Source organism: Homo sapiens, chromosome 10 (genome assembly GCF_000001405.40).
Source record: "Homo sapiens chromosome 10, GRCh38.p14 Primary Assembly".
Classification (NCBI taxonomy): Eukaryota; Metazoa; Chordata; class Mammalia; order Primates; family Hominidae; genus Homo; species Homo sapiens.
In genome coordinates, this window is record NC_000010.11 from 47,729,315 (window position 1) to 47,742,978 (window position 13,664).

A 13,664-nucleotide genomic window follows, 5' to 3' on the forward strand; every position below is an offset into this window, starting at 1 on the left:
TCATACCCCCCAAAATATGTCATTGGTCCTCCAGGACTCTGTAGTCCCCATCCAAGAAAGACTGTGATAATTGTCAAGGGGTTAGTACAGTCTGAGCATGGTCGATGGTGCTCTGTCATTCTGGTATTGAACAACCTCCCAAATGTCTTGATTACATGTCCTAAAAAAGTGAGGGGAAGAGTGTAGGACAAATGCAAAATAAAATAACACATTTAGCTATACTTTTAGTATTTTTTATTATTGAGATTCAATATTTAAGTGACCGATTCAAGATTCTTTTATATAAAAAATGAATATATGCATAAGTAACTGTGATAAGAACTGTGGATGGATAAGAGCACTCGTCTGATGTACTGCAGCATAACCAGAACTGCTGTTGGTCTGAACGGTGTGTTATCTGGGCCTGTTTCTTGTGTCAGGGGGATCACATGCTGTCACTCTGGAGTGCCTCAATAGCTTGTAACTAGAAAGAGAAGGTATAGAAAGAGTAGTTTACTTACCTGTTTATTTATTTAGAGGCAGAGTCTTGCTCTGTTGCCCAGGCTGGAGTGCAGTGGCACAATCTCAGCTCATTGCAACCTCTACCTCCTGGGTTCAAGCAAATCTCCTGCCTCAGCTTCCCGAGTAGCTGGGATTACAGGCATGTGCCACCACTCCCGGCTAATTTTTGTATTTTTAGTAGAGACAGGGTTTTACTGTGTTGGCCAGGCATGTCTCGAACTCCTGACCTCAAGTAATCCAGCCACCTCCGTCTCCCAGAGTGCTGGGATTACAGGTGTGAGCCACCGCTACTGGCCGGGAGGAGAAATTTAAAATGGGTTTGAGACTTGAGGAACCAAAAGAAACAATGAAACCATTCAATGTGTGTGCTCCTGTCAAGCTAGCAGCGATCTTGAGAGCTCTGTGTTTTCGTCTTCTGCAGTTCCTTCCTCAGAGATCACCTATGGGATGGTTGTGGCAGACCTGTTCCACTCCTTGTTGGCAGTCAGCGCAGAACCTTGTGTATTGAAGATTCAGAGCCTTTTTGTGTTAGATGAAAACAGCTATCCATTACAACAAGATTTCTCCCTCCTGGATTTTTATCCTGACATGGTAAAGCATGGAGCCAATGCCCGTCTCTGAGGCCAGAGGAAGAAATTGCAGGCATTTCAAGGAAGAAGTACTGAAATGATTTGTCTTTTGAAATAAATGAATGACAGGGCTTTTGCTTTGGATTTTTTATGAAATATATTTTACAAAGAGAATTGCACTAGATATATAAATTAAAACTTTTTTCTAAGAAAATCCTGTGAGGTTTAAAAAGATTGTTTTTGTCTTTTGGTTTCTTCCTTTCTTCTGGAGAAATGATCTACCAGTCAAGGCAATATGTAGCAGATCCCTGGGAATTAAAGGTTTGCCCATTTGTTCACTGTATTTAGTCCCTGCTACATTCCAGGCATCGTACTAAGTATGGGGAACCACAGAGAAGACACTCCTTCAGAAACTGCTGCAGTGCTTTCGCTTATCCCTACCTAAAAAACCGTCAATGTGAAATCATTTCCTTGATTATAACTATAATGATAATGGATTAGTTTATATAAACCTATGTTTAGACAAGTTCAAGACAAGCGTGTCTTTCTATAAAAAGTATTGAAAGTGAAGGAAATGAGATCATGTTTCAATTTATTAAAGCAGGGAAGAGCGTTCTGTGGTTAGTTCGTGTCTAGGATTTGAGTGCCTTACTGAATGTATTTACCAGCAAACATGTAGCAATCTGTTCTCTCATTGTGATTGTGGAAGAAGCTCATGTAAAATGATAGTCATTAATGAGGAAGTATGGCGTGGTACTTATTCTGTAAGTTCAGAGTATGCTGAGTGTTAATAGATTGTCATATTGCCTGAAAATAAATTCATGATGACATGAACAAGCTTCTTTTACCCTGTGTATGTTTTTAAAAATTCCTTTGGTTCAGAGGTGGTTGTTGTTTTTTAACTTGGCTTCCCTAAGAACGAACCACAAGAGTTTTGTGATTCTTTCAAAAATAATATGCCAAAATGCCTTTGTGGGAGCACACACACACAAATGCATGTTTCTGTGGAGAAGGATCCATAGCTTTCAACAAATCCTCAGAGGGTTCTGTGACCAAGAAAGGTAAGAACAAGGCTTTAACTGATGAGTTTCTTTGTGGGGTAGATAAGGGAATTAGAGCAAATGATTGCCAAAGTTTTGTCTAGCAACTAATAAGGTGGGTACAGAAAGAATTGACTCCATTTTGTATCTAGAGAGACTGGAATTCAAACAAAATCATTGGCTCCCTTCAATGATTCGTTGAATGGGTGATGAAACTTGAGCCTGTAGTTGACGCCTTCTAATCTGTGCTCTCTCAACTATAACCACACTAGGCAGAGATTTGGAATTCTGATATAAAATCTGCCCAGTCAATATAGGCCAACCAAGAGAGCTGTTCGCTTAAGTGTGCCCTTCCCCACTTCGTCCTCAAGTGGAGACCTAATCCCTACATCAACCAGAACATAATCCCCAGGAAGAGATGGCTCTTCACATCCTATTGGGAAGAAATCTTTAAACCATTTCAGGTGAGTCAACAGATCACACCAACATCTCTTCACAGTTGTTGGTATGTATTTCATTAATTAACACATATTTCCAGGAGCCCTTATTTAGGTTGGGAACTGTTTCCTCCAGTCCTGAGGAATCTGAGCTATCTACAGAAGTTATGAGCTATTTAAGTGGGATCAGGATCAGCCCATTGCTCCTGCTATGGTCTGAATGTGTCCTCCCAAAATTCTTACGTTGAAACCTCATCTCTGATGGCATTCAGAAGTGGGGCATCTGGGAGGTGATTAGATCATGAGGGCTCTGCCCTTGTGAATGGGATCAGTGCCCTTACGAAAGTGGCCCGAGGGAGCTTCTTTGTCCCCTTCTGCCACAGGATACAGCCAGAAGGTGTCATCTTTGAAGCAGAGAGCAAGCCCTCACTAGATTCTCAATTTTCTGGCACCTTGATCATCCCAGCCTTCAAACTGTAAAAAATAAGTTTCTGTTACTTATAAATTGCCCAGTCTGTTATTTTGTTATAGCACCCAGAATGGACTAAGACACCTTCTGTGTGTATTCTTTACCTGAGTTGACAAGTAAGTGTCTTTATTCTGTTATGTTTTCATAAAACTCAGTGGGGTAGCCAGAGTGTCATCCAGCAGTCCCATATCTGGCAGTCTTATGGTGGGCATTTCAGGGAGACCTCATTCTTCATCTTCTGTTAGTTCAGCTTGCAGGGACAGCTCTCCTATTTTTAGAGAATCATTTTTATTTGTTAGTCACTTAGTTTCCCCAGAGGTATCCTTTTTCTAACAGCGTTAGAGGCATTCACCTTTCTCCCCACTAGTAAGATCTGTGCTGTTTCATTTTACATCTTTTTTTTTTTTTTGGTTGGGGGAAAGGGGGCTGATCATCAAATGAGTTGACAACATTGGGTGCATGATCCACCCTGCAGACGTTCGCTGAATGTCTACCATGTGCTAGGCACTGGAAATGCAAAGACACAAATGTCTGCCTTCTGTAAGTTCACAGGCAAGCTGGTGAAGAAATATTTAAACAAAATTATATCAGCGCCAGGATTAAATCTGTGTGGAATACAGAGCCAAGGCAAAAGAGGTAACAGTAGGATGGGTTTGTTAGTCATGACTCTTGGTTGCAAGTGATAAAAACCCAACTCAGAGTAGCTTGAGCAAAAAAGGGGGACTTGATTGACTCACATAAATGAGGGTAGTACCAGCTTAAGGCACAGTTGAATCCATTGGCCTAAATTACCTGGTTACCCCAACTCCCTAATCTTTCTTTCTTTCTTTCTTTCTTTCTTTCTTTCTTTCTTTCTTTCTTTCTTTCTTTCTTTCTTTCTTTCTTTCTTTCTCTTTCTTTCTCTCTTTCTTTCTTTCTTTCTTTCTTTCTTTCTTTCTTTCTTTCTTTCTTTCTTTCTTTCTTTCTTTTTTTTCTTTCTCTCTCCCTCTCCCTCTCTCTCTCTCTCTCATCAGAAGAGGTCTTTTACGCTGTTATTGCAAAAGCATAGATGTTTCTACAGAGTTTTGATAGGATAACATTTTCACAGTGATTATGAATTTACATCGTCCCTAGAATTCTAAACTACTGGGATCTGAGGCCGTAAGTTGTTTAAGAGTATTCTGACATTACCTTAGATTCAGCAAAACTTGAATAGTTGATCATGCCTTTCTTAGAAGAAAATATCTGTAATTTCTCAGAACAATATAGAATGAGACAGAAAAACTAACCATCCCTATGTGCCTTATTTTAAGTGATATATTTGTATCCTGATGGGTTTCTAGGTGTTGGAACACAGGTCATGAATCATAGAACAATTAGAATAAAGTGTTCGTCTTTATCAGTAGCTTAATTCTGGCCCTTGATTTAATGTCAACAGGGGAGAAATGTGTGAGAGGGGATGAGGTTTGCCAATTAATTGTCATTATGTCTTTGGAGGTCTTGAACCTGATTTGTTATTAAGAAGTGAATTCTACCCACTTAAGGCATACATTTGCTAAAGGTGACCTCTCTGCTTCCACGTTGTTAAGAAATCGTGATTTTTTTCAAAACCATCATCAGCTTTACAGTTTTTGAGGAAAGATCTAGAAGCCTGTTAAAATGGACTTACCAGGCAGGGTTCAGCCCAGGAAACACAAGCCACTCTGGGTATTCTAAACAGAGAGAGATTAATGTGGAATTCAGGTGTTTGCAAAGGTATTGGAAGGCTGGAGGAGCAGGCATCAGTCTGAGCTCCAGGAGGCTGCCACGTGAACGGTGGATTCATGAAAACATCATCATTGGCTGCAATCTTAGACTGAGGATGCAGCTGCTGGCATCCCAGCAACTGACTCTCAAGCACATGGAAGCTGGGAGTTATTTGCTGCTGCCCAAAACTCAGTCCCCACAGCTACACTTGCCAGGAACAGTAGCTTCAGGAAGATAGCCTGGATTTCACTCATCTTCCATATTGCACATGTGTGTGTGTTTCATTGATGGAACATGATTCACGCTGAGAGCTTTAGCTGCAAGAAAGTTTGGGAAATATGTCTTCTCTGAGGCTTTTGGTCTTTGCAGTTCAGGAGCAGTTAGGAGGTGGGACTGGTTGGTTGCAGAGTGAGCTGATTTACTGCACTTAGTCTAGCTTATTAAAGGATCAGCTTATAAACACCCCAGGTAATATCACAATACATAAGTGCTACCTAATTACTGTGTGGGTCTGTTACCAAGAATGTCTAAGTCAAGAAATTGAAGATTGTTTCCTTCAGATTCTGCATCCTAATGTAGAATCTTTCCTATTAGAGTATAAGTAAATTATTTTGGTGTGTTATTTAAGAATATTTGTGAATAGGCTTAATTAAACACCATGTTAAGAAATTATAAACTTAAGGCCAGGCACAGTGGCTCACGCCTATAATCCCAGCACTCTGGGAGGCTGAGGCGGGCAGATCACTTGAGGTCAGGAGTTTGAGACCAGCCTGGCCAACATGGTGAAACCTCATCTCTACTAAAAATACAAAAGTTAGCCAGGCGTGGTGGTGCACACCTGTAATCCCAGCTACTTGGGAGGCTGAGGCAGGAGAATTGCTTGAACCTGGGAGGTGGAGCTTGCAGTGAGCTGAGATCACGCCAGTTCAACTCTAGCCTGGGTGACAGAGTGAGACTCTGTTTAAAAAAAAAAAAAAAATTATAAACTTAAAAAAAAAACGTTTTCCTTTAAACAAAAACGCATGTTCCTTGTTTTTTGTTTTGTTTTGTTTTGCCTTTTTTGAGAGACGGTCTTGCTCTGTCACCCAGGCTGGAGTACAGTGGCACAATTATGGCTCACTGTAGCCTCTACCTCCTGGGCGCAAGCAATCCTTCCACCTCAGCCTCCCTGGTAGCTGGGACTATAAGGGCAGACCACAACAACTGATTTTTTATTTTTTGTAGAGACAGGGTCTCCCTACATTGCCCAGGCTGGTCTTGAGCTCCTGGGCTCAACCGACCCTCTTGCCTTGGCCTCCCAAAGTGCTAGGACTATAGGCGTGAGCCACTGCACCAGGCCGTTTCTTTTTTTTTTTAACTTTGGAAAATATGGATGAATGAAAGTGAGAAAAGTAACCCTTCTGTTATTCTACCAACCAAAGCTAATTGCTGCCAACATTTTAATAGATATTCCTTCAGTTGTTTTATGCATGTATGATTTTGTACATGTGTCTGCTTTAAAATATATAGTCTTTCAATGTTGCCCAGGCTGGACTCAAACTCCTGGGCTCAAGTGATCCATCACCTCAGCCTCCTGCATGTATCTACATCTTATTTTATTTTATTTTTAGAGACATTCTGTTAACCAGGTTGGAGTGCAGTGGTGTGATCATGGCTCACTGCAGCCTCAGCCTCCCTGGGCTCAAGTGATCCTCCTGCCTCAGCCTCCTATGAGTAGCTGGGACTACAGGCATATGCCTCCATACCTGGACACTTTTTGTATTTTTTGTAGAGACATGTTTTTGCCATGTTGCCCAGGCTGGTCTAAACTCCTGGCCTCAAGTGATCCCCTTTGCCTCAGCCTCCCAAAGTGCTGGGATTACAGGTGTAGACTACCACGTCTGGCCAACATTCTCATTGATAGTCTTTGCACACATCTTTCATTCCTTCTGGGAATTTATTCTAAGAAAATAGAATTTTGGGGTCAAAGTACTTGTATGTATGTATCTGTACCAGGAAAAAAGCAGAAATTCCAGTATCAACAGATAACGAGAGCCACGCAGGGTGGTACATGCCTGTAGTCCCAGCTACTCAGGAGGCTGAGGCAGGAGGATTGTGTGGCATGAGCCCAGGAGTTAGAGGCTACAGTGAGCTATGATTGCACCACTGTACTCCAGCCTGGGCAATAGAGCAAGACCCTGTCTCTGAAAAAACAAAACAAAACAGATAACCATTGTTACTATTTTGTTGAACATTTTCCAGATACCCTGATAGAAGACAGATCTGTGCATGCACATACACAATTTTACATAAATGGGACCATTCCATATAGGCCAGTATCTAGTGTGTACTTTTTTTACTCCACAATTTGCCATATACGTCTTTCCAAATCAATCAACATAGATTAAATCATATCAACTACACAGGATTCCATCATTTGTGTGTGCTCTTGAATCCTACTTTTAAAATGTTCTCAGAAAGGTTATCCTGAAATATATTCCTATCAGAAGTTTTCCACACTCTCTCTAAACTGAATGGCATAAGTGAAAGACTAGTTGTTAGGTTTAAAAAAGGTTATCTGTTTTAATTGGAATTTTTTTTGAGGTTTTCTTTTTCTTTTTTCTTTTTCTTTTTTTTTGAGACACAGTTTCACTCTGTCACCCTGGCTGGAGTGCAGTGGTGCGATCTTGGCTCACTGCAACATCTGCCTCCTGGGTTCAAGCGATTCTCCTGCCTCAGCCTCCTGAGTAGCTGGGATTACAGGTGTGCACCACCATGCCCAGCTAGTTTTTGTATTTTTAGTAGAGACAGGATTTTGCCATGTTGGCCAGGCTAGTCTTGAACTTCTGGCCTCAAGTGATCTGCCTGCCTCAGCCTCCCAAAGTACTGAGACTACAGGTGTGAACCACTGCGCCCAGCCTTAATTGAATTATTTTATTGCTAAAGTGATTGTACATTTGCTTCATATGCTTATCAGTCATTTGCAGTTTGCTTTTTCATATTTTACCTTAGACCATTTTTATGTGGGAGAAGCCTTTTATTAAATTAGTATGTTCTCCTTATAAAGTTAGTAATTTTTAACATGTGTTGCAGACATTTTTCCCAAGCTTGTTATATATGTTTGACATGCAGAAATCATAAATATTTACGTGGATCAACCCATCAATCTTTTTCTTTATTGTTTCTAGATTTTATGGCATGCCTAGATAGCTTCTTTTCTACTATAAGATTATACACATTTTCTTCAAAAAATTTTCTGAAACATTTATGATTGTTATATTTGTATTTAAATCTTTAATTATCTAAAATTTAGTGCATGGTATGAATGGATCTAACTGATTCATTTTCCTAAAATGGTCAGCTGGTTGTCCCAACACTATTGATTTCTTTCTTTCCCATCAGTGACATAGATGTGATCTTTATTATAATATGAAATTATTATTCCTGCTAGCATTACCTGTGGACTTTCTAGTCTGTTTCATTGTTCTATATTTATTGCTGAGCCAGAACCATACAGTTAGAATTATTATAACTTTACATCTGATAGGAAAAGTACCCCCATATTTTTCTTCATTAAAATTGTTTTTCTCAGACATCTTTGCCCATCTGTTCTTTTTTATTCCCCATTAAGAGTATATGTTGCAGTGTTTTTTAGTATATTCAGAGTGTGTGACCATCAGCACACTCAATTTTGGAACATTTCATCACCCCCAAAAGAATCATCCATAGTTACATTAACTATACCACCCCACAGCTCTTCCTTAAGAGGAGCTAACAGTCGCTCCTCCATACCCACCCCCTTTCCCCCAACCCTAGGTAACCACTCTTCTACTTAGTGGCTGTATAGATTTCACTATTCTGACATTTCACATGAATGGAATCATACAATATGTGGTCCTTTGTAACTGATTTCTTTCACTTGGTATAGTGTTTTCAAGGTTCACACATGTAGCATGTATCACTACTTCATTGTTTTTATTGCCAAATAATATTCCATTGTATGGATATACCGCATTTTATGTATCTATTCATCAGTTGATGGCCAACTGAGTTTTTCCCACTTTTTGGTTATTTTTAATTGTACTATCATGAACATTTGTGTGCAAGTCTTTGTGTGGATGTATATTTTCATTTCTCTTGGGTATGTACCCAGGAGTGGAATTGCTGGGTTGTATGGTTTAACCATTTGAGGAACTGCCAAACTTTTCTAATGCAGGTGCACTATTTTACATTCCCATGAGAATGCATTGGAGTTCTGATTTCTCCACATCCTCACCAGCACTTTTTATTATTATCTGACTTTTTGATTATAGCCATCCTAGTGGGCATGCCATCTGTTCTTGAGATAAGTTTAGAATCATTTTTATCCCATTGATATTTTTAATGAGATTGCTTTGAATTTATGGATCATTTGGACATGTTTTCAGTGGTTAAGGCTTACTATTTAAGAAGAGCATGCTTTTTCAATTAATAAAGTATTCTTTAATGTTCCTTAGCTTTAGCTTTATTTAGCAGTCCACATTTAAAGGGTATTAACTATGGAAATTTTTTTTTTTTTTTGATACAGGGTCTCACTCTGTTGCCCAGGCTGGAGTGCAGTGGTATGATCTCAGCTCACTGCAACCTCTGCCTCTCAGGCTCAAGCTATCCTCCCACCTCAGCCTCCTTGGTAACTGGGGCTACAGGCATGTGCCACCACACCTGGATAATTTTTGTATTTTTTGTAGAGATGGAGTTTTGCCATGTTGCCCAGGCTGGTCTGGAACTCCTGGGCTCAAGCAATCCACCTGCCTCAGCCTCCTAAAGAGCTTGGATTACAGGTATGAGCCATCAGCCAGTTTTTTTGTTTTTTTAAATCATTGATTTCAACTATGCTCTGTTGAATCCCTTTTCCATCCCCTCATGTCTCACATGCCTCACATAACTTCCCAGGCATTGTGTTTTAGAAAGTCTGGTATTGTTTAAATTCCAACCTCATTTTGCTCTTCTCCAGAGCATGTCCAGCTAGTCACTAAAGGGACTTGGAATGGGGAGGAGATAGGTGCACCCTTCCTTTCCTTTGACTCCAGCTGTTGGAGCTGGAGGGAGGGCGTGAACTGGCACCGAGGTGAATTCTCCCCATTCCTTCCCAGCTTCCTGAGGCCTAGCTCCTCCATGAGCTGGGGAGGGAGAAAAGAAGGAAAGGGGACAGTGGTACTTACCAGGCAGCTACCACTGTGGTCCTCTCCTTTGATGGACTCCGCTTTTCTAGCCAGTACTTAACTGTTGATGCCTTCTGTGCAGCAGGCGTTGAGTACTCCTCTTTCTGGGGTCCATGTGAGAGTTCTTTCAGAGCTCACTCTTCTATGTACTCTATGTACTCACTCTATCTTATGTACACAGTTGTTTTCATGGGAGATGCAGCTCTGTCTGGTCTTTCCTGCCCCCTCCACTCTCTCCAACTGTACCTCCTTTCTCCATCTTGCAATCTCTCTCTGATTCACTTCACTCGTGCTCAGACAGGCATGGAGAGCAGGTCAGCAAATTCTTCACACTATCAGACTTTAGACAAGCTAAGGAATTTCCTTCTCTGCATACTGTATATAGCACAGTTTGATTTATGTAACATCCTAATCATACTGTCTGGAAGAATCTTACCAAAATGATATTATTCCCCTACATGGGGAATTAGGGCTTGATTTTACCTTCTTTATTATAATTATTTTTACTTGATCAAATTACTAGGAAATATTCCTCCACTTCTAAAGAATACAATTTCCCTGTGTTAGAAAGATCAGTTCCGGTGTGGTGGCTCACTCCCGTAATCCCTGTACCTTGGGAGCCTGAGATGGGAGGATTGCTTGAGGCCAGGAATTGGAGACCAGCCTGGACAACATAGCAAGATCTTGTCTCTATAAAACACTAAAAAAAAAAAAAAAAAAAATTAGCCAGGCATGGTGACACACTACTCAAGAGGCTGAGGCAGGAAGATCACTTGAGCCCGGGAGTTTGAGGCTGCAGTGAGCTATGATCTGCCACTACACTCCAGCCTGGATGACAAAGCGAGACCCTGTCTCTAAAAAAATAAAACCAACAACAAACATACATAAATAAAAAGATCACATCCAAATAATAGAAAAAGATGATATGGTTTTGGTCCCCAAAACTGACATCATGTAGGAGATATTGGAACTTTGTGGGTGGGAGCCAAGCCCATTCTGGTGCCCCTTCTCTAGGTCACGTCTATACTGCTTGTTTGGATTCCTTGGCAAAAACTGATTATGCAAGGCAGTAGGATGCCTGACTCAAATTGGGTCAATCAGATCCTTTTTCTTGGAATTTAAAAAAAAATTGCATGAAAACGTATAGTTAAATGCACAGGTCTTAAGTGTACAATTTAGAGTTTTAACAAATATATACATTCATGTAACTGAACCCCAAACAAGATATGGAGCATTTCCATCACCCTAGAATTTTCATTCATCCCCACTTCCAGTCAGTCTCCTCCATCCATGATGGCCAACCACTATTCTGATTTCTATCACTATACACTAGTTTGATCTTTGTTTGGACTTCATGTAAATGAAATCATACAGTATATATTCCTTTGTAACTGGCTTTTTTTAACCTAAGAATGTTTTTCAGGCTTATCCATATTTTTATGTGAATCAGCAGTTTATTCTTTTTTATTGTTCAGTAATATATCAATGTGTGAATATATTATCCATTCGCCTGTTGAAGGTCATTTGAGTTCTTTCCAGTTTCGAACTATTATGAATAAAGCTGCTAAAAACATTTTTAAAACAAGTCTTGTTGTGGACATAAGTTTTTGTTGGGGCAGGGATTTAAATAGCTAGGACTGAGATTGTCAGTTTATTGGATAGGTATATATTTAACTTGAGAAGAATCTGCCAAACAGTGCTCCAAAGTTGTGCAGTTTTACACTCTCCGCAGCCAAAACGGAGGCTTCCAGTTGTTGTACATCCTTGTCAACATTTGAGATGTCAGTCATTTTCACTGTAGCCATTCTAGAGGCTGTAAAGTGGAACCTCCTGGTTTTGGTTTCTCTTTCACTGATGACTAATGATGCACAACTTTTCATGTGCTCATTGGCCATTTGTATACCTTCATTTGTGAAGTGTCTCTCAAGTCATCTGCACATTTATCTTATTGGGTTGTTTGTCTTTTTACTGATCAGACATATGTATTCTAGATAAAAGTCAGATATATGTATTATTGATATTTCAAAGCATTTTGTTCAGCAGTAGAAATGCTGGCTATATGATTTGAGAATAAAAATACGTATGTAATCGTAACAAGAAGTCTTAAATAAATTAAAATGTCACTATTTTGAATAACTAGAATATATATTAAGAAAAATAATCCCAGGAAATAAAAAATATGCTAGTAATATATTAATTACACATAACAAATTTACAAAATTATATTACCATATAACAGTAATACATAATTCTAAATAAAAATAATCATGCTCACAGATAAAACCAAAAACTTTAAGAGCTTAATTTATTGAAAGGAAATGATTTAAATATCATGAGGGAAATAAAAGGAGACAAGAAGTAGTGGAACACTCTACTGTGCTCCTGCTGTTTGGGAAGATGTACTATACAGAGTTAATTCAACAATAAACAAAGTCCCTGAGGGATGGCCTATACAAGTTGACAAGTTGATGTAAAAATTAATTGAGGGAATTAAACAGAAATGTAAATATTCCAATAACCATCGAATTATACATTTTAAATGGATGAATCATATATGTGAATTATATCTCAATAAAACGATTATAAAAAAAGAATAAACAGGGATTTTTTTTTTTTTTTTTTGAGACAGAGTTTTGCTCTTGTTGCCCAGGCTGGAGTGCAATGGCACGATCTTGGCTCACCGCAACCTCCACCTCTCAGGTTCAAGCAATTCTTCTGCCTCAGCCTCCCGAGTAGCTGGGATTACAGGCATGCACCTCCATGCCTGGCTAATTTTGTATTTTTAATAGAGATGGGGTTTTTCCATGTTGGCCAGACTGGTCTCAGACTCCCAGGCTTAGGTGAGCCTCTCGCCTCGCTCTCCCAAAGTGCTGGGATTACAGGCGTGAGCCACTGCGCCTGGCCTAACAGGGAAATATTTTTCAAGTTAAAGCAAAAAAACAAGGTAAGCCAAGTAAAACTATATAAAAATATATGATTTTGGTGTTTACAGCGCATTGGGTAAAAAATCTTACTCAGAAACAGTATGTAAAATATTTCATTTTTAGAAAACTATACATTAAATCAATGGAGAGTGGCCAAAAAATTTTAACACTGTTTATCTCAAGGAGCTACAACTATGGTAAATATTTTCCTTAATAATGAAATGTGGAAACATTTCTGAGAACAGAAATAAGACAAAGATGTCCATTATCATCACTTGTATTCAATACTTTCCTGGTATTCCTAACAAGAGTAATAAGGCAAAAAAGTTGAAATAAAAATACTAAGATTGGACCTAAGATACAAAACTATGTATGTATATTAACAACTCAAAAGAATCCAGAGACAAGTTATTAGAATTAGTGAGTTTAGCATGACTGAATAAATGGTCAAAATAGGAAAACCAATTTTATTTCTGTATACCAGCAAGAGTTAGAAAATAAAACATTTTAAAACAATACCATTTATGGTAGCATAAAAATTCAAATGTCTGGGGAAAAATTTAATGAAAGATGTCCATGACACTTTAAATATTATTTAGAGAAATGAGAGAAGAGGTAAATAAACAGAAGTACATACCATGTGAACTGATTAGATGACCCAGTATTTTAAAGATGTCAATTCTCCCCTGAATTGACTTATAAACTCAATGCAACCCCGGGCGCAGTGGCTCACGCCTGTAATCCCAGCACTTTGGGAGGCTGAGGCGGGCAGATCATGAGGTCAGGAGATCGAGACCATCCTGGTTAACACGGTGAAAC

General features: G+C 39.3%; 1 protein-coding gene, 1 long non-coding RNA gene and 1 pseudogene across 5 annotated transcripts in view; 1 reads left to right on the plus strand and 2 right to left on the minus strand.

Moving 5' to 3' along the window:
* SHLD2P3 (shieldin complex subunit 2 pseudogene 3) overlaps positions 1–1,904 on the plus strand; it is a 41,519-nt pseudogene extending 39,615 nt beyond the window's left edge. For all 3 annotated transcript variants that reach the window (NR_027634.1, NR_160661.1, NR_160660.1), the window contains one exon: positions 923–1,904. The product of NR_027634.1 is annotated as a shieldin complex subunit 2 pseudogene 3, transcript variant 1 (transcript). The remainder of the gene's footprint in view (positions 1–922) is intronic.
* The window catches only part of ANXA8 (annexin A8), a 523,804-nt gene that overhangs the window by 261,322 nt on the left and 248,818 nt on the right, over positions 1–13,664 (minus strand). The window lies entirely within an intron of this gene.
* LOC124902422 (uncharacterized) lies at positions 218–4,870 on the minus strand. Its single transcript, XR_007062142.1, has 3 exons — positions 4,665–4,870; positions 3,121–3,284; positions 218–463 (listed from the first exon to the last, which is right to left on the minus strand). It is a non-coding gene; the product is annotated as an uncharacterized LOC124902422 (long non-coding RNA).